The 22306-nt window shown below is 40.4% G+C and overlaps 1 long non-coding RNA gene across 1 annotated transcript; it reads right to left on the bottom strand.

Annotated features, from left to right (window-relative positions):
- Nucleotides 1-1238: 1238 nt before the first annotated feature.
- Nucleotides 1239-20647, bottom strand: LOC105378319 (uncharacterized). The gene is made up of 3 exons (XR_945991.3): nt 20575-20647; nt 19879-20008; nt 1239-1347 (listed from the first exon to the last, which is right to left on the bottom strand). It is a non-coding gene; the product is annotated as an uncharacterized LOC105378319 (long non-coding RNA).
- Nucleotides 20648-22306: the final 1659 nt, after the last annotated feature.

Genomic DNA, 22306 nt, shown 5'->3' with positions numbered 1-22306 from the left:
ACATCTCATTTTCTCTTTTACTTAGAAGGAATATTATATTGAACACATAAAATACATGATTTACATTAGCAGTGCCATGCACTTTCTCCTTCATTAGTAACAATCTTGGGCGGGGTACAGTGGCTTATATCTGTAATTCCAGCAATTTGAGAGACTGAGTGGGTGGATCACTCGAGGCCAGAATTTGGAGACCAGCCCGGTCAACATGGTGAAACCCCATCTCAACTAAAAATACAAAAATTAGCCAGGTGTGGTAGCACATGCCTGTAATCCCGGCTACTCAGGTGACTGAGGCAGGAGAGTCACTTGAACCCAGGAGTTGGAGGCTGCAGTGAGCCAAGATTGCACCACTACACTTCAGTCTTGGTGACAGAATGAGACCCCATCTCAAAAAGAAAAAAATATCTTGGGACCGTCTGCTATATAGTCAATTGTATATGAAGGATGTCAGTAAAATCCCTCTTTGAGGAAGGAGTTTAATCGCACTCAGTTAAAATGATCAGAGCTCTATGAATACATGGATAATACTTGGGACTGCAGTGTACATACTTGTTAAGGTTGTGATTCCACAACCAGATTGCCTATCTCAGTCCCTGTGGCCAGGTGACTGTGAGCGAATTATTTAGCCTCTCAGAGCCTCAGTTTCCTCATTTATAAAACACATCATAGGGCTATTGTGGGAATTAAATAAGATTCCCAATATATATACCTGATATGTAGTAGATGTCCAATAAAATATTAGCTATTATTTTTGTCGTTGTCATTCTTAAATGTATTGCTTCTCTGTACCTGAGGGAGGCATCAAGTGTTCCGGGAACAGGTGTAGGGTTAATGTTTGCATTAAAGGGCTTCATTTGGAAGAATAATGAGCCTCTGTTATTCCTAATCACATAATTGTCGCAGCTTTTGCCTGTTCTTGTCAAAATCTTCTTTCCCTAGGGATTCATGACTCAGCACATTTTTTTGGAATTGCCATTCAGAAGCTTTCACACAAAACAAAACACAGGCCGTTCCTCCACAAATCAAATAGAAGCCACTTTGTAAATTGAATTGCTATGGGAATTTGAACTTTTTCTTCTCTTAAGAACTCTCATCTGAGCTGCTCCGAAGGTGGGCCTGAAATTAGGCAGAAAGCAAAATGATCCGATTTGTTTACCGAGTACTAATTGGCTTCGGCTCAGGGCCCTTACCTCACTGCTTTCCAGCCTTTGAGACTTACTCTTGAGGGAGTGCAATTTCTTGCCAGGTCTCCTGGGATTCTATTCCTAGTGGAGCTCAGCCGCATTAGTTGTTTTTTTGCTGCATGCATTCCTTGTCCTAATGAGTCATTTACTTTTATTCTTTCTCCTTGCAAAAAGAAAAAATAAATTTAAATTTAATCAGTTTTTAATAAAAAAAGATATTCTAAAATCTTTGGTAAGCAACATGTTTTCAATACATAATAATTAACCGTGGTCAAGTGCTTTCCTGTGATAGGTCACCCTAAAACTACATAGCCACAAAGATATAATTATTTTTTCTTCCTGGAAAAGTTCCTGATGTGATAAAGCAAGTTGTGATTCCTCCAGCTTAAATCTGAAAACTGCTGAATATCTACAGCTATAATAGGGCATTGCCAAGGGCAGCCCAAATGACTTTAGAACCCTAGCAACAACGGAGCAGCCATTTTTCTGGAAAGCACTCCCTAATAAACTTCCTGCATGCAAACTCTGTTTCATAGTCTCTTTCCCACCAGGAAACTGAGGACAACCGAAATCCCAACATGGTGAGATAATGCCAAGTACACAGGGTCATCAGAGCAGAGAGGGAGGGAGACACCTTTCTTGAAGGCCTTTTATGTGCCCAGTATTGTTACAGGTACTTCACAAACCATGTCTCGTCCTGTTTAAGTTCTAAAGGTGTTGGCAAGACTGGCTGCTCGACTGTCAAGATACCACAAAGATGCCTTCTTATCTTAGGACATTTGGGGTCTGGCTCTTTCCTGACAGGTTGAGGTACTTCATTTCTTATTCATCCAACACTTCTTAAGTGAGCCCCTAGTATGTGTTAGGTACTCTCCCAGGTACCAAGGATATAATGAGCAAGATAGACAAGGTTCCTGTACTCTTTGAGCTCATTGGTGCCCCAGAGCTGATCAGAATAAGTTAGATGGCAGTGCAGTTGTAACAGAAGCTTCAGCTCCTGTGGGAAATTCTGGAGCTGGGATGGTCCTTCAGCATTGGCCCAGTGGAGTTCAGTCATGTCTGACTCACATTAAGATTCCCAAAAGAATGGATTTAGGGGAGCAAGATGGCTAACTGGAGAAGCCTGGCACTCTTTCACCCCACATGAAAGAACCAAGGAAAGAAATACACAGCTAAAATTTGACTGCAGTGTTGAAGGGAGAGTGCTGGAGTACAGAGGGACAGTGGAGATACACCTGTGGTGATTGGAAGTCTAGGAGGGCAGTGTGGAGGTACCTGGTGTCTGCAGCCCTGTCTCCTCCACCTAGATCAGATTGGCCCAGAGATAGGAGGGACTTCCTGTTGCATGGGAAAGGAAGTAGAAGATCCTCACCAGCCCTCATTGATACTGCAGACAGCTACAGTCCTTACAACAGGAAAATTCTGCAGTCCTCACAAGTCCTGAGCCCAGTTTGGAGAGCTGCTGGGGATTCACTCAGCTGCATTGCCCCAGATTAGGAGCACAAGGTGTGTACTCCCTATCTACCCTCGAGCCTCTGTGAACCAAGCTGCTCAGCACAGTGCCATCTTGAGATCAAAGTCACCCCTTGAATGTACCCTGCTCTAGGGGCGAGCAGCCACTGCACCTCTCCAGCACTGGCGCTCCAGCTTCATTCCACAAGTCCGCACAGATGACTGAATGCCACAACACCAGCAGTGTGGAGCCAGAGCCCATAATCAGCTGTGACTCTGGTCCTGCACAGCCAATAAACCAACCTCTACTGCTGCACCTCCAGCCAAAAAATGGTCTGGCAGTCCCACCCAGGGTGACTCCCTCCCTTGAGCTGGCCAAACTGCTGCATACCCTATCCTAAGCAGAAGTGGTCCCTAAGCCTCCAAGCAGCTGATATGCCTCTGGGCCAGTGGAGTGGAAATGCGTCCAGGATCTGGAAACAGCCCTGTAGCAACCTTGCCCTCCACAGACAAGCCTCTGGACTGTCCAATGGCCCTGCATCCCCAACAAGGGCCTGAGAAACAGTCCTGCAGGTCACTCCTGGTGGGCATGCCTCCAGGCTAGCCAAGCAACTGTTCATCCATGTACTGGGCTTGAGAAACAGCTCCATGGGCCGCTTCTGGTGGGCACAGCCTCATGCCTGTGCTTGCATCCTGGACCTACACAACAGTGCTGGTGGGCTATTCCCTGCAGAAATACCACCAGGTTAGCCAAGCAGTCATGCAGCAACCTGCATGAGTCTGAGAATCAGCCTCGTGGCTCCCCTGACAAACAAGTCCCCAGGCCAGGTTGGCAGCCACGTGCTCATTTTTGGACCTGAAAAATAGCCTTGTGGGCCACCCACAGCAGATATGCTTCTAGGCTGACCAAGCAGCTTTATGTCTGTGTTCTAAGACAGAGAAATAGCCCCCTGGGTCACCTCCAGCAGTCATGCACTCAGGTCAGCTGAGAAGCTGTGTTACCACATCCTAGACCTGAGAAATAGCCCTAAGGGCTGCCCCTAACACATATGTCCCCAGACTGACCAAGCAGCTGTCTGCCTGCATTCTGGACCTGAGAAACAACTCTACAAGCTTCTCCGGGTAGGCACACCCCCAGCCTGGCCAAGCAACCATGTGCCTATGCTCCTGGCAAGAGTAGCAGCACTGTGGCCTCAATCCTAGTGAGCCAGTCCCCAAGTTGGCCAACCCACTGTGAATACGCATAAGCCCTTGGCCTGTGAAACAGCCTGGTGAGCCCAACACCAATAACACTGCTGCCACAACCTCTCTCAGCCTTGGCCACTGAGAAATTTTTAAATGCCACTAGTGTGGATTGTAGCTGAAGAAACTACACAAAGACTACACTGTTAAATCTACCTAGAACAAAGGCCAACATATCCCACCAAAATGATATCCCAAGACCCATTCATACAAATAAATTTTTCCTGACAAAACCTAATTCTTAAAATTGGAAGAGGTGACTTTTCCACTAGATGCATAGAAATTAACACAAGAACACATCAACCATGAAAAAGCAAGGAAACATGTCATCTCCAAATAAAAACAAGAATTCCCCAGTTACAGACTCCAATCAAGAGGAAATATATAAAAATGTCAGAAAAGAATTCAAAATAATAATCTTAAGGAAACACAGTGAGATACAAAAGAATACAGATAGACAATTCGATGAAATCAGGAAAGCAATTCATGATTTGAATAAGAAATTCCACAAAGAGATATTATAAAAAAGAACCAGACAGAAATCTTAGAGCTGAAGAATTCAAAAAAGAAATAAAAGGTACAACTGACAGCTTCAACAGCAGACTAGACCAAGCAAAAGAAATAATTTTTAAACTTGAAGACAGATTATTTGAAATAACACAGGCAGACAGAAATAAAAGAAGAAAAAAGAAAAAAGAATGAAGAAAGGCTGCAGGATTTATGAGACACCATTAAGTGAACAAATATTTGTATAATGGGCATTCCAGAAGGAGAAGAGCATGGAAAAGTTGAGAAAAATATATTTAATGAAATAATAGCAGAGAACTTCCCAAGTCTTGGGAGAGATATGGACATCCAGGTCCAGGAAGTTCAAAGAAGAAAGATTCAACCCAAAAGGTTCTCTCTGAGGCACACTAGAGTCAGATTGTCTAAAGTCAAAGACAGAGAAAGAATTTTAAAAGTAGCAAGAGAAAAGCATCAAGTCACATATAAAGAAATGCCTATTAGACTAATAGCAGATTCCTCAACAGAAACCTTACAGGCCAGGAGAGAATGGGATGATATATTTGAAATGCTAGAAGAAAAAAAGTGCCAGCCAGGAATATCACACCCAGCAAAACTATCCTTCAGAAATGAAGAAGAAATAAAATCTTTTGCAGATAAGCAAAAACTAAGGGAATTCATCACCACTAGATCAATTAGTCTTACAAGAAATGCTCAAGGGAGTCTGACATCTGGAAGTAAAACCACTATCATGAAAACTATAAAACTCACTGGCAGAGCCAATACACAAAGGAGAAAGAAAAAGGAATCAAACCTTATCACTACAGAAAGCCACCCACCTACAAAAATAAGCAATGAGAAAGAAAGTAAGGAACAATGAATATACAAAAGAACCAAAAAACAATAAAATGGCAAGAGCTAGATTCTTGCCTATCAATAATAATCTTGAATGTAAATGGATTAAATTCCCTATTTAAAAGATATAGACGGCTAAATGGATTTCAGAAACAAGACTCAACTATATGTTGCCTATAAGAATTTCACCTCACCTGTAAATGCACACATAGACGGAAAGTGAAGGGATGGAAAATGGTATTCCATGCAAATGGAAACCAAAAGTGAACAGGAATAGCTATACTGGTATTAGACAAAACAGATTTCAAGTTAAAAGCTGCAAAAAAAGACAAAGACATTAGATAATAGTAAAGGGACCAATTAGCAAGAGAATATAACAATTGTAAATATTTACCCAACCCTGGAGCACCTAGATATATAAAGCTAATATTATTAGATCTAAAGTAAAACAGAGATCCATATACAGTAATAGTTGGTGACTTCAACATCTCACTCTCATCATTGTGAGAGATAATCTAGACAGAAAATCAACAAAGAAACACTGAAGTTAAGCTGCACCATAGACCAAATGAACCTAACAGATATTTACAAAGCATTTTACCTGACACCTGCAGGATACACATTCTTTTCATAAGCACATGGGACATTCTCCAGTATTGACTATGTGTTAGTACACAAAACAAGTCTGAATTAAAAAAAACAAATCATATCTAGTATCTTATGTGACCACAATAGAATAAAACTAGACATCAATAAGAAAAGAAACATTTGAAACTATACAAATACATGAAAATTAAACAACATGCTCCTGAATGACCAATGGGTGAAGAAAAAAATTAAGAATGAAATATAAAAAAATTTCTTAAAACTATGAAAATAAAAAACACAACACACCCAAACCTATGGGACACAGCAAAAGCAGTATTAAGAGGCAAGTTTACTGCAATCAATACCTATTTAAAAAACTAGAAAGATTCAAATAAACAACCTAAAGATGCACCTCAAGGAACTAGAAAAGCAAGAACAATCCAAACCCTGAATTAGTAGAAGGAAAGAAATAATAAAGATCAGAGCAGAAATAAATGAAATCGAGAAAAAACATCCCCACAAAACATCAACAAAACAAAAAGCTGTTGTTTTTGAAAAGATAAACAAAACCAACAAGTCATTAGTTAGACTAAGAAAAAAAAAAAAGAACACAAATAAATAAAATCAGATAAAGAAAAGGAGACATCAAAATGGATGCCACAGAAATATACAGGATCATTAGAAAATATCTTGAACAACTATATGCCACTAAATCTAAAAATCTAGAGGAAATGGATAAATTCCTGTACACATACAACCTACCAAGATTGAACAAAAAGAAATAGAAAACCTGAGTAGAACAATAACAATTAATAAGATTGAATCAGTAATAAAATGTCTTCCAACAGCCTGGGCATGGTGGCTCATTCCAGTAGTCCTAGCACTTTGGGAGGCCGAGGTGGGTGGATCGTCTGAGGTAAGGAGTTCAAGACCAGCCTGGCCAACAACCTGTCTTTACTATAAATACAAAAATCAGCTGGGCATGGTGGCATGTACTTGTAGTCCCAGCTACTTGGGAGGCTGAGGCAGGAGAATCACTGCAACCTCATTGCAGAGGTTGCAATGAGCCAAGATCGGGCCACTGCACTCCAGCCTGGGTGACAGAGTAAGACTCTGTCTCAAAAAAAAAAAAAAAAAAAAAAAAAAAAGTCTTCCAAAAGAGAAGAGTCTAAGACAGATGGCTTCACCCCTGAATTATCTCGAATCTTTAAACAAGAATTAATACCAATTCTTCTCAAACTATCTCAAAGAACTGAAGCAAAGGGAATTTTTTCTAACTCATTCTATGAGGCCAGCATTACCCTGATACCCAAACCAGGTAAGAACAGAACAGCAACAAAAAAAGAAAACTGCAGGCCAATATCTTTAATAAATATGGATGCAAAAATCTTCAACAAAATACTTGGAAACCTAATCCAACAACACATTAAAAAGATAATATGTCAAAATCAAGTGAGATTTATCCCAGGAATATAAGGATGGTTTAATATATGCAAGTCAATAAACATCATACATCACATCAATGAATAAAGGATAAAAATGATAGGATCATCTCAATAGATGCAGAAAAAGCATTTGATCAAATGGTCAAACAAAAATCCCAAAGTGATAAAAACTCTCAATGAATTAGGCATAGAAGGAAAGGTCATATATGACAAACCCACATCTAACATCTTACTGAACAGGGGAAAGCTGAAAGGTTTTCCTCTAAGAACTGGAACAAAACAAGGATGTCCACTCTCACCACTCTTATTCAACATAGTACTGTAAGTCCTAGACAGAACAATTAAGCAAGAAAGAAATAAAACACATCCAAATTGGAAAGAAAGAAGTAAACTTTTCCCTGTTTGCAGATGACATGCTCTTGTATGTAGAAAAAGCCAAAGACTACCAAAAAGCTCTTAGAACTGACAAATGAATTCAGTAAATTTGCAGGATACAAAATTAACATACAAAAATCAGTAGTATTTCTATACATGAACAACAAACTAGTCAAAAAAGAAATCAAGAAGGCAAATCCTGTCTATAATAGCTAATATAATATAATATAATAACCAGAATTTGTCAGGAAATATTTATTTGTATGAATGGGTCGTGGGGTATCAGTTTGGTGGGATATGTTGGCCTTTGTTCTAGGTAGATTTAGCAGTGTAGTCTTTGTGTAGTTTCTTCAGCTACAATCCACACTAGTGGCATTTAAAAATTTCTCAGTGGCCAAGGCTGAGAGAGGTTGTGGCAGCAGTGTTGTTGGTGTTGGGCTCACCAGGCTGTTTTACAGGCCAAGGGCTTATGTGTATACACAGTGGGTTGGCTGACCTGGAGACTAGCTCACTAGGATTGAGGCCACAGTGCTGCTACTCTTGCCAGGAGCATAGGCACATGGTTGCTTGGGCAGGAGTTCAAGGCTGCAATGATCTATAATCATACCACTGAACTCCAGTCTGGGCAACAAAGTGAGACCCCATCTCTTAAAAAAATAAAAATTAAATTAAAAAAACAAGACATACAAGTGGCCAATAAATATGAAAAAATGCTCAACATCACTAATCTCAGGAAAATGCAAGTCAAAACGGCAGTAAGGTATCATCTTCCCCAATTAGGATGGCTATTATCAAAAAGACAAAGCATAACAAATGCTGGCAAGTATGCAGAGAAAAGGGAACTCTTATACACTGTTTGTGGGAATGTAAACTAGTACAGCCACTATGGAGAACAGTATGGAGGTTCCTCAAAAAACTGCAAATAGAACTGCCATATGTTTCAGTAATCCCACTACTGAGAATTTATCCAGAGGAAAGGAATTCATTATATCAGAGACATCTGCACCTTCATGTTTATTGCAACGTTATCTACAATAGCCAAGATATGAAATCAACCTAGTTGATTCTGAGTTGACCAATGAATGAGTCTTTCCCTCCCTTGAGGGCAAATATTATTATGAACTCATGGATTTTAAATTTTGGAGGAGGGAGAATTTCAGCAATGGCAGTTTTGTTGTTGTTGTTGTCTGATGCTCAAATTTTCTACCAAATTGACTCCTGAGTCCGAAGTCCGCAGAAGGTCAGTAGTCCTTGATAGTTTCTTTACTTCCCAATAGGATAAGATATTTTAGGATCATCCTGGATATTTTTTTGCCCCAGATCTGGAATTAGCTATTCCTCCAAGGAGGCTTTGGGGATAGTTTTTAGACTATTAGTAATGTGGGTACTAGAGATACTCATTGCTACTGGGTTGGAGATTGCTTCTGCAAAATTGGTATTTTTGTTTTGTAAGCCAAAAATGCATCATGAGTTAATACTGACAACTCTAATTTAAATCAATGATCACATATTTTTTATCTAACTTCATTGATTTTGTATTTAAATTCTTCTCTGTTGCTAAAAATCTTGATTTTCGAATGACAGTAATGTAAGTATTTGCTTTATCCTACTATTTGTATAACATTTTCAAAATAACAGTAAATTATAATTATTACTAATAATATGATAACTGAAAACTGTTTTCTAGTTCTTTTTGTCTCTAGAATAACCTATTCTAGATGTGTGAGCCAACTATGTTATAGTCCCTTGAAATGGTTTCTCTCCGTGTGACTAAGTCACCAATTCGATACTTGTGTTTATTTGTGCACTTTTAATTTGTGTTTCTCCTATTATGAGTGAGACTGAATATCTTTTTACGCATTTAAGGGATACTTGTATTCCTTTATTTGCAAATTCTCTTTTTCTACAGGACAGTTTGCCTGTTTTTTCCCTATTTTCAGAAACCCTTTCTATTCTATATTAGGGATATTTACCCCTTGTTTGTCTGTACTATAAGTTGAAATTGGTTTTTCCCATTTTTTCATTTGTCTTTTTATTTATCACATCTTTTGCCATGTTAAAGCTTTTTTTTATTTTTATGTTTAACTCATTTTTATCATGTTTTCTCAAATTGATTTAAAATATAAATTTGTATAACTTAGTAGCTTAGATAGTAACTTAGTAGCTATGAGTTATTTGTGTAATTTAGATAGTAGCTTAGATAATAGCTAATATTTTTACTTATTTGCTTATTTTTGTAATTATAATACAAAGTTTACATAGTATGGAGTGAATTTTATAAATACTTCCCATTTATGCCTTATGAGTTTTGTTCCATGCTTAGGAAGGCCTTCTCAACTTCAAATTATTTTTTAAATGTATCAGGATATTTTTGGTTACAGACTAGAGAATACTAACATTAAAAATTATAAGGATGTATATTAAGAATATTTATTATCTTGCATAGCAAAAAGTCTGGAGCTAGGAAAATTCCAGCATAGTTAATTTTGTGACAAAACATTGTCATCAAGGACTTAAGTTGTTTTCATCTTTTTGTTTTATAATCATAAGTATAGTAGTTTATCCTCTTAGGCTGGCTGTCCTCATGGCCTCCAAGGGCTGCCACTGTTCTAAGTGTCATATGCGGACAACCATAAAAATAGAAAATGAAGGCTTCTCCTCAGACTTCATCTTTGGACAAAGTGGAAAAGCATTCTCAGAAGGCCCATGGCTGGACTTGGGTCCAAATCATGCTGCATGACCATTTCCAGTTTAGTCACTGCATTGGAGATGAAATTGGCAAGAATGACTAATAAAGATTTAACTGGCTGAGCGTGGTAGCTCATGCCTGTAATTCTAGCACATTGGGAGGCTGAGATGGGAGGCTCTCTTGAGCTTAGGAGTTTGAAGCCAGCCAGGGCAACATAGTGAGACCCCATCTCTACTTAAAAAATTAAAAATTAGCTGGGTGTGGTTGCATGCACTATAGTTTCAGCTATGCAAGAGGCTGAGGTGGCAGGATCGCTTGAACTCAGGAGTTGGAGGTTGCAGTGAACTATAACTGCAACATTGCACTCCAGCCTGGGCAACAGAGTGAGACCCAGTCTCAAAAAAATTTTTAAAAAAGATTTAATCCTGAGACTTGGGCGGGGCCTAAAGCAAATGATTACCACGCATGTGAGCATAATCTGGGTTTTGAGAGAAAGAAAGAAATCACCATTGTGTCGTCTTGCAGATTCATTTCTTACACATAAAACTTCCATCCACCTAAAATTTGTGTTAGTGTAAGCAGTGAGCTAGGGATCAAGCTTATTGTTTTTTCCTAAACAACTAGCTAGATGTCCTATGTATTAAATAACTTAGCTTTTAAATCAGCTCCCTTATGATAGTTTCTAAAAGGAAACAGGAAAATCTGCTGAGAGCATGGGAATTTTTGGTCAAGTCTTTTAAATTCACTATTTCACAGAAATCCCTTGTAAGATGTCTCCTTCAAATCACATTGCTCACATCACAACCAGACCCGCAATGTCAGAAACTGTTAGGCGATGTTCTCTCTGCATCTAAAACCTAGACAAATAGTGCAAAACATAATTTAAAATTTATGAATTCTAGGCCGAAAGTCATGTGATATGCCAGCTATTTTTATTTTGAAAATTTGATACTTAAGTGTACCTGCATGTTATTTATATTGAAATAACTGAACACCCACCATGTGCCAGCCACATAGTGGCCTTAAGACACTTAGATTTTATATAAGGCAGAGAGATAAAAAACAAATAGATCTGTGTGTGTGTGTGCATACATATATACATACAATGGACAGAAAGAGTAAGAGGGATGAGCAGGCTAGGATATGGGGATGTTTTTAAAGATATAATTGACAGGGAGGTTTTTCACTGAGGAGTTGACATTTGAGTAGAGTCATGATGCAAATGAGAAAGCAAGCTACATGGCTAGCTAAGGAAATAGAATTCTAGGTTGTTGCAGGAAGTCAAGGACCCCGAAAGGAGGGACCGGCTGAAGCCATGGCAGAAGACATGGATTGTGAAGATCTCATGGACATTTATTAGTTCCCCAAATTAATACTTTTATAATTTTTTATGCCTGTCTTTACTGCAATCTCTGAACATAAATTGTGAAGATTTCATGGACACTTATCACTTCCCCAATCAATACCCTTGTGATTTCCTATGCCTGTCTTTACTTTAATCCCTTAATCCTGTCATCTCGTAAGCTGAGGAGGATGTATGTCGCCTCAGGACCCTGTGATGATTGTGCTAACTGCACAAATTATTTGTAGAGCATGTGTGTTTGAACAATATGAAATCTGGGCACCTTGAAAAAAGAACAGGATAACAGCAATGTTCAGGGAACAAGAGAGATAACCTTAAATTCTGAGCACCGGTGAGCCAGGTGGAACAGAGCCATATTTCTCTTCTTTCAAAAGCAAATGGGAGAAATATTGCTGAATTCTTTTTCTCAGCAAGGAACATCCCTGAGAAAGAGAATGCGTCCCTGAGGGTGGGCCTCGAAAATGGCCCCCTTGGGTGTGGCCGTCTTTTATGGTCGAGCTGTAGGGATGAAATAAGCCCCAGACTCCCATAGCGCTCCCAGGCTTATTAGGATGAGGAAATTCCCACCTAATAAATTTTTGGTCACACCGGTTGTCTGCTCTCAAACCCTGTCTCCTGATAAGATGTTATCAATGACAATGCATGCCCGAAACTTCATTAGCAATTTTAATTTTGCCCCGTCCTGTGGTCCTGTGATCTCGCCCTGCCTCCATTTGCCTTGTGATATTCTATTACCTTGTGAAGCACGTGATCTCTGTGGCCCACACCCTATTTGTACACTCCCTTCCCTTTGAAAATCACTAATAAAAACTTGCTGGTTTTGTGGCTTGTGGGGCATCATGGAACCTACTGACATGTGATGTCTCCCCTGGACGCCCAGCTTTAAAATTTCTCTCTTTTGTACTCTGTCCCTTTATTTCTCAACCCAGCCAATGATTAGGGAAAATAGAAAAGAACCTACATGACTATCGGGGGCAGGTTCCCTGATACTAGGTAGAGCAACAGAGTTCCAAGGCACTGAGGCAGGAATATGCTTAGCTGTGATGGGTGGAGTAAAGTGAATGAGAAAGAGAGGAGATCAGAGAATGAAGGAACTTACAGGCATCATACAGAGCCTTATAGGCCACTATAAGGATGTTGGCTTTTGCATTAAATGAGGTTGAGACCAATCCAGTGATGAGAGACAGGGAGCGGAGAGACTGGATGGGAGAGAGGGAGGAATAAAGGAAAGAAGAAAGGAAGGCAGGCAGGAAGGAAAGAAGGAAGAAAAGTGATAGATCGGATTTTTTTTTTCAGACAGGGTCTCACTCTGTCGCCCAGGCTTTAGTGCAGTAGTGCAATCGCAGCTCACTGCAACCTTTACCTCGTGGGCTCAAGTGATCCTCTCACCTCAGCCTGGAGTAGCTGGAATTACAGATGGGCACCGCCATGCCTGGCTTTTCATTTTATTTTATTTTTTGTACAGATTAGGTCTCACTATGTTGCCCAGGCTAGTCTTGAACTACTTATCTCAAGCGATCCTCCTGCCCCAGCATCCCAAAGTGCTGGGATTATAGGCATGAGCAACCATGGCTGACCCTGATTAATGTTTTAAGAGAATCCTTCTGGTTGTTTTGTTGAGAATGAACTATAGGAACACAAGGGGGAAAAGCAGAGAGATAAGGTAGGAAGCCATTACAGTGATTCATTTGGGAGATAAAGGTAACTTGGAATAGATTAGTGATGGTGATATGTAACCAGATTCTGGATATACTTCAAGGTAGAGTCAACAAGACTTATTAAGTTTGGTATGGGGTATGAAGGAGAAAGGCAAAAATTATCCCAAGGCTTTTGGCTTCAGCAACCAAAAGAATGGAGTTGCCATTTGCTGAGATGGGAAAAGTTATACAGATTGTGAAATAAGAGCCCTGGGGTGTCTATGTTAAGTTTGAGATAGCTACTATACATCCAAGTGGAGATGTTAAGCAAGATGTACGAGCATGGAGTTCAGGGTTGCTGTCTGTCTACTTGGGAATCATCAGGCATATAGAAGGTATTTAAAACTACAAGTCTGGATGAGGTACCTAGGGAGTGAGTGAAGAGAGGCAAGGACCAAGTGTCAGAATTCCATGAAATCAACAAAAGAGACTGAAAGGGACCAAGTCAGTAAGATAGGAGGAAAAGGAGAGAATAATGTCTCTACAGCCAAGTGAAGAAAGTGATTCAAGAAAGAGGAAGTGATGAGCTGTGTTAAATGATGCTGATGGATCAAGTAAGGTAAGGGCTGCACACTGATCACTGGCTTCAACAGCGTGGAGATCATTTGGTGATCTTGATAAGTAGTTTGCAGGAGTAGCCAGCACACAAATGTCTCATTAGAATGGGTTCAACAGAGAATTGGGGGAAAGTGATTGGAAATCATCTATACAAATAATTCTTAAGTAGTTTATTCTTGTGTATGATGAAAACATAAACTCTGTTGAAAACATAAAGATGATTGAGCATGATGCTCATTTGCCCAAAATTTCTGTTTCCATCCCTATGTGAGATTTATTTGTTTTGGTTTGTCTCATGGCCAAAAATGAATTCCTGGCTTTGATCATTCTTGATACTCTCCTATGGCAATTACCTTGAGAGAAAGTGGATGAGTCACATGCACAGTTCTGGAAAAATAACTTGAAACATCTGTCTGACTAAAGGGTGATCCCTAGCCATCTTCCTTATGAAAGTCCTCTCCACCTGTGCAGTAAGTTGGGGCAAGGCATTCTGGTTGGACCTACTGGGTGGCAGTTGCTGTGGATGAGGTTATAAAGTATCACCTCCTTTGATTTTACAGCACTGCCTGGTTTATAAAGTGCTTTATTATTCATCATCTCATCTGATCCTCATAACAACAGTGTGATGTAGGCCAGGCAGATGATGAAATCACTATTTTATGAAGGAGAAAACTGAAGATTCCAGTGGCTGAGGAATTGTCTTAGGGCATGGAGCTGGGATGCACACCCAGGACTTCTGACCACCTGTCTCCTGTTGTTCCCACTGAGTCCAGTTCTACTGGCTAGCTCAGTCCTATTGTTCTTGGCTAGAGCTGCTTTTCTGTGTGATGTCTTCCTTATAACAGGAAGGGAAGAAAGGATGGTATTTAGTCTTCAGTGTGATATATCAACAACCTGGGGCTGCTTGATCTGCCTTGGTGTCTGGAAGCCATGGAGTCCAGCCTGAGCTCTCTCCTCTTTTGACCCTTGCAGATGCTCTGTTTTTCTCAGGTTATGGCTCAAAGTTTTAAGGGAGGTGACAAGCCTATCAGATTTTACTGGATGACATTTACTTCTATTAAAATCCAGTGTAGCTCTTTTTAAAATTAAGAGATTAAAGGATTAGATAAAGTTACAATGTAACCCAATAGGTGGCCTTTCATTTTGTGTTTCTGAAATTATCTAACTTCTCTTCCATTTCCAAGAACATTCCAGAACTTAATTTTAGAGAGTGTAATTCACAAGCTAATATTCCTAGTCAAAGCAAATGAAACATGTCTCTGTGTTATGCATAAATGGGAGGGTATTAAGGGGAAATTTGGAACTGAGCTGACAGAATTAATAAACCTAATTTTTTTTCTGAAAGCTCATGTTTTTCCCTTAAGATGTTACAATGGCTTCAAAAAGGTTATCAAGGAGTATTTGCTAGTATTCTCAAGCAGCACACACACATTCAGTGTCAGCAGAGTCTGCTGAATGTGAGGCACTGGCCTGATTACTGATTACACAGTAAGGTGCATTGCATTTATATATGACAGATTTCATTATTCCAGGTTAACTTCTGGTTTGCTATTTGTAGACATTTCATGGAATTATAAAGCCATCTTGAACTCAGACAGAAGAGAGGACAGATAGAAATTACTCCATTAATTACCTCTGAGGGCCAAGTATCATGTAATAGTCTACATGAAGGAAAGGCAAAATGACTGTGGGGAAAATGGGTGGTGAGGTCACACATCATCTATGAGTGGTCTTCCTCCAATCCGGCAATAAGTGTATTTCCAAAGGAGGCATGTGGAGTGGTAGAAGTGTGTGCTTGGGAGCTCTTAAATCAAACAGGTTGCTCTAAGTGGTGAACACACTTTTGGGAAATATGTGGTGATACAGTCACTCTCACATGCCATGATGACAGGTGTCAGAGTAAATTATTCATAGACAATTTGGCAATATCTACCGAAATCTGAATGTATATACCCTTTGATGCAGTAGTCGCAATATGAAGAATTTTTACTTCCCAGCACTTTGGGAGGCTGAGGCAGGTGGATGGCTTCAGCCCATGTGTTCAAGACCAGCCTGGCCAACATGGTAAAACCCCATCTCTACAAAAAATTTAAAAATTAGCCAGGCCTGGTGGCACATGCCTATAGTCCCAGCTACCAAAGAGGCTGAGGTAAAAGGATCACTTGAGCTGGGGAAGTGGATGTTGTGGTGAGCTGAGATCATGTCACTGCATTCCAGCCTGGGTGACTGAGTGAGACTCTGTCTCAAACAAACAAACAATAACAACAAAAAACCCACAAAAAATAAATTTATACCAATTTTTTAGATGTGTGCAAAGATGAACACAAATGCTTATCACAGCATTGTTTATAAGACTGAAGCTGGGAACAACCTCAATGTCTAAGACTAGAAGGCTTAATAAAGATATATTATATTGATACTGAACTGCCATGCAGCCAATAGACAGAATAAGAGACACTGAGATGCGCTATTATAGAGTGTGCTTCAGGATCTATTAAGTGAAACAGTGTGTGTGTGTGCGTATGTGTGTGTGTGTGTGTGTGTGTGTGTGTATCAGTCAGGATCCCATCAGGAAACAGAATTTGCCCCAGATGGTTCAAATGTTGAGCTTTCATCAATGGACAATGAACGGAAGTGTGGGCAGGGCACGTTAAGACACTCAGACACTAGCACCAGTGGGAAGCCATTATCACAGTGGACACTGTGCTGCTCCACCTGATCTCCTTTTCAGGGCTGACACAGCATCCACAAGGGCTGAGAATATCAGCTGTTGTTTGCTCACAGCTGACCCCTCTCTAGAATTCCCTCAGCCACCACAGGGGACAGTCTTGCCCAGGTTGCACTTTTGCTTGGGGTGGCCATGGCCAATGACTGTCCAATTCAGGGATATGAAAGCCCACCCCCTTGTCTCAATTTGGGACAATTCTGAAGGGCCATCCAGAAGTTCCCTGTAGCATCAGCTGAGGCCTCATTGAACTGCATTTCAGGTTAGCTTCTCCTCCCAGCCAATCCTGCTTTCCTCCTTTCCTTACTAAAATAAAGCACCCTTCAATAAGCTATCTGCACACACCTCTCCATCTCAGTTTGTTTCCAGGGAACCTAATCTAAGGCACATCCCTGGGGCCAAAGGTGCTGAAGGTGCTAGAGACTGAAGTAGATCCCGCACACAAGCTGAAGTTGTGAAGGGATGCAGCTACTACCAGGAGCATGCAGCTAAAGTGGGGAAGAGGAGATACCCAAGTTTCTCTCTCCTCTCACTCTCCAACCCCCTTTCATTCTCTCACTGGACAACCTCAAATGGAAACTAGCCAGCAAGGAGTATAAGGTATGTAGGGGTCATTTCTGGGGACAAAGAATAGGACCTAAAATAGACCGGGAATGGAGAGTGGAAAATAGAAAAGAAGTAGCACAGTATCTCCTCTTTATGTAAATAGGAGAAATATATAAATATGTACATATATGCACACACAAAAGATGCTAGCTGTGCATAGAAATTTTCTGGAATGGTATAGAAGAAAATTTAAATAGTGGTTGCTTCTGGTAAAGGTAACTGTGCGAATAAGGTATACAGAAGATTTGTCCTTCATTCTCTTCTGACCATTCTACTTTTTAAATATAAGTGCATATGTACTTAATATTGTATTTGAAATAAAAATTAAATGAACATTTGGAGCTTCTAGGTAGGGTATTAAGCAGAGAAGTTGGAGTGAGTGATTGTTTTGTTCATTCATGGATGGTTGCTAGGTGCCTTGCATTGTACTGCATTAACACAAAGAAGAAAGGTCCCTGCCTTAATGAGGAACTTACAGTTTAGTGTAGCACAAACAATGACAATAATGCAATGGGATAGTGCTGTCATGGAGGTGGGTTGCAAGGTACCAGGGACCGGAGAAGAGAGGGAGGTCTAAACCTCTCTAGCAAGTCTTCAGCTTACAGAAGGTAGAGCCAGGGGTAGGCTGAAGTGATGAGTAAGGGTTTCATCATACTTGGTCAGAAGGACTCACTAAGGATAATGGGAGGAGAGGAAGACCTATGCATAAGAATGGCAAGATAAGGAAGAAACAGTGTACTATATTCAAAAGTTCAGGGGTTGAGAATCCATTGAGGATAGTGTGGGGTTATTTTACGAGTTTTAAACATTGAGGCAAAATAAAGAGTACAAGTTGACAAGTTTTATTAAATGTATATACCTGTGTATACACCCTCCCCACCAACATTTTCATTACCCTAGAAATGCCCCTTAGTCTCCCTCCACTCAATCCTCACTTCCCAGAGGCATCCACTGCTCTAATTTCTATCAGTAAGTATGACTTTTTCCTGCCCATGAACTTCATACAAAAGGAATCATTTAGGATCTACTCTTCTGTGTCTGACTTCATTTGCTTAGCATAATATTTTGAAGATTTATCCATGTTAAGTTTTCCAGATAAAATATAGGATTCCCAGTTAAATTTGAATTTCAGATAAACTCCAAATAATTTTTTAGCAAAAGTAGGTTTCATGCAAAATTTTTATTTTATTTGCTAAATCTGGTACCCATAATCCATACTGTTATGTTTTCAGCTTTTCTAAAATGTTGAGTCATATGCTATGCTATAAATATACCACAATTTGGTAAAAATACTTAGACCTACTGGGTTATGAGGTAGATATACATTTTTTTTGTTTTAAGAAACTTTCAGTTTTCACTTCATTCTTCATGAAATAATTTTGAGCAAAGGAGTGACATGACCCAATTTGCATTTTAGAAATAGCCTTCTGGCTGTAACCTTGAGAAGCTGGTAAATGGCAGGGGGCAAGACTAGAGGCAGGGAGGACATAGATGGCCAAAGTCTAGATGATGCATGCTTGAATTATGATAGAGGAGAGGATGTTTGGGAAGAGATTTAGAAGGAAGACTCAATAAGGCTTCTATATAAATTGTTGGTGAGAGATTAAGGCGGAAGAAATCTGAGTGTCTGGCTTCTTCCAGATCACTAGCTAGAATAGGTGGGGTTGATGTCTGCTTTAGTCACTAACCTGTATTTCATACAATGTTTGATCATAGTAGGGTCCAAATCAACTTCCGTTGCCTCTTTTGCTTCATGACTCTAAGGAAAAAGAATCTCAGAACCCTTTCACTGATTGTATTTCCGTCAGTATTTTTAACTAGTACAAATACAATCAGTATTATATACAAAAAGGCTATCCTAACAGAGAGGGAAGGGAATATGACATTTAATTAATGAGGAGTACCTACCTTTTCCTAGGCACTGTAATTTCAAATTCTTTTTAGCATCTGAATTTCTCCTGAAGTTGCATGATCATATGGTTCAGAAGAACCTTGAAAAGGTATCTCATCCACTCTGGGTGTTACTGAATCTAACTAGGTTCCATTAGCCCAGTACAGTAAAGCCAAACATTCACACTGAGGTTTTACAGCAAGATAAGGGAGGACATTTATTTGCAGGGCTCCAAGCAAGGACAATTGGGTAGCTCATGCCCAAGATCTGACCTCCCCGATAGCTTACAAGCAAGGTTTTTTTTTTGTAATTTTTTGAGACAGAGTCTTGCTCTGTTGCCCAGGCTGGAGTGCAGTGGCATGATCTCTGTTCACTGCAAACTCTGCCTCCTGGATTCAAGCAATTCTCATGCCTCAGCCTCTCAAGTAGCTAAGATTACAGTCGTGTGCCACCACACTTGGCTAATTTTTGCATTTTTAGTAGAGATGGAGCTTTGCCACATTGCTCAGCCTGGTTTTGAACTCCTGGGCTCAAGTGAACCACCCACCTCAGCCTTCCAAAGTGCTGGGATTACAGGCATGAGCCACCGTGCCTGGCCACAAGTAAGAATTTTTGAAGGCAGAGGTAAGTTTCAGAAAAGCAGAAGTTACAGGCAAAAATAATAAATTAATACATGGAGGTTATCCATTGAAGTGGGTGCTTACAGATAATAGGTGGATTCAAAAATCCTCCGATTTGCGATTGGTGAAGGAAGTGAAGTTTCATCTAAAAACTTGGGGTTAACAGAAAGGAATGCTAAGTTCTGGCTTGTTGGCATGACTTTCTCCAGGCTGCCTAGGAAGAAATTTAGAACAAGAAGCAGTGGTCAGAATTCAGTCCTCAGTTTCCCCTTATCTGAAGTCTGTGTGACAGCAGTTGGCGTTTTCCATCTGGTAGGGGTTCAGGTGTGAAAAACAAGTCGGAGACTTAGGTGAAGATATTATCTTTAGTTTCCATAGGGAACCAAACATCTCATGGCTCTAACTTATTTGGATGGTCATTGTTTTAAGCTACAGTCACCTTCTTGCTTATCAAATTGCTCACTTACTTCTTAAGGCTAGTGAGGTACCTAGAATTTCCCTCGAAGAAACTCAAGATTTTCTTTTATTTCCATGTTGGAGAGGCTCAGTTGGCCCCTTAGGGGGGCCCCTACTCTGTCTCATGGGGAGAAGCAGTCTCTTACTTTGGAGATTGATAATCCTAGGTTAAATCCTTTCTTTACTTTTTACTAGCTAGCTATGTGACAATTTCAAGTCATTTACCTTACTGAGCCTCCGGCCCCTCCTTTCTATGTTATGAAGGTTATATAAGGTATATATGTGCACCTCAACAAACTTTCTCTCTCCCCCTCCCTTCTGTACCTATCAACAGTAGGTGATCACAGCGGTGTCCTTCTTGCACATAATTGATTGACAGCTATTATTCTCAGCAAAGCAGCCCCCAAGGCAGCCACTTGAGTCTAAAGAAGAGTCAAGTGTTAGCTGTGCCCATACCAGTGCCAGGCAGAACCTCAGTGCCTCCCCCGAAGTTGTATATATGGAGAGGGGCTGGTGAGCCCAACCTTTCTGCTGAGCTAATGTTGTGAAGTCTTTTCTTGAGTAATCAACATTTCTCATGTATGAGGAGTGGCATTTTGTAGTGATTAAATTCCTGGACTTTGAATTCGGACAGATCGGGGAAGCTCTTAGAACCTGTTTGCTGTATAACATTAAGCAAGTTGATTCCTCTCTCTGAGTGTCAGTTTTCTCATCTACAAATTAGCGATCAATAATAGTACTTATCTTTTCATTTGGAATGATGATTGAGGTAAGGTTTGGAAACTCCTTAGCACAGAGCTTGGCACTTTGTGAACCTTCAATCAAGGATAGCTGGGAGACTGGCTGTGGTCTGGGTCTTTACTCTTAGGAAGGCACTTTATAAAGTCATCTACTTTTCCTACAGTGAGTTGGTGTCTGCTGTCCCCGCCTCCTTGATTAGTGGAAACACCTGGGAACCCAGGAAATTTCACCAAGTGCTACACATTTGGATGGGCAAGCCATTTCCCTCCATGCTCTCTGTTAGCAACACAGGAGTCAGGCTTAGAGAGCTGAGCTCAATCTTTAATCTTCTGTCAATGAAATCCTTACCTGTGGTTTGCTGACACATTAGGTCTCCCCCAGGGCACAGAGTAATCCAGTGCCTTCTCCTTTCAAACGGACAAGGGGCGGTCCTCGCTGGTGAACAGCTCTTCTTCCACTGGCCTCCTTCCCGAGGCCTGTTGTAAGGGTTATGTGAGACCTTCAATCCTAGAGCGGAGAAAATGTACCTACCTTGTATCTTACAACTTTTGATTCAAGTGAGAGCTTGGAGAGAAATAAACATATTCAAATAAGAAACAGAATAAATGAGGATTTGAAAAGCCAGATCAAATTGAGACCTCGAAGCACAGGATGAATGCAACTTGGGTCATTTGATGCCAAATGTCAGATTCCTGACAAAATAAATTCTAGGTTTTTTTTTTTTTTTGGAGACAGAGTCTCACTCTGTTGCCAGGCTGGAGTGCAGTGGTGTGATCTTGGCTCAGTGCAACTTCTGCCTCCCGGGTTCAGGTGATTCTTCTGCCTCAGCCTCCCAAGTAGCTGGGACTACAGGTGTGTGCCATCACACCCAGCTAATTTTTGTATTTTTAGTAGACATGGAGTTTCATTATGTTGGCCAGGGTGGTCTTGTTCTCTTGACCTCATGATTCGCCCGCCTCAGCCTCCCAGTGTTAGGATTACAGGCGTGAGCAACCGCACCCTGTCAGATTCTATCTTTCTTCACTGTGTAAACCCTTCATAGATTTCCTGCTCTCTGTTCTTCCCAAATAGCCTAACCCCAAGGGAAAAATTGATCTCAGTATCTTTTTGGAGAAGTCAGTCTCCTTGTTGAATGTGAGAGGCAACATGGTCTGTAGAGCCCCAGGATCAAAGGATGCTGTGTGGCCTCTTGACCCTGCATTGGTGTCTTTCTATTACTCATCTTCAACCAACAAATACACAAAGTACATATGCACAGTACACACATGTATAAGTGCTTAACAGGACTGGAAGCAGGGGGAATAAGGCTGGTCAA

The sequence above is a fragment of the Homo sapiens genome, chromosome 10 (assembly GCF_000001405.40).
Source record: "Homo sapiens chromosome 10, GRCh38.p14 Primary Assembly".
In the NCBI taxonomy this organism is placed as follows: domain Eukaryota; kingdom Metazoa; phylum Chordata; class Mammalia; order Primates; family Hominidae; genus Homo; species Homo sapiens.
The sequence above is the reverse complement of the archived record's forward strand: the minus strand, read 5'-3'. Positions and strand labels throughout refer to the sequence as shown.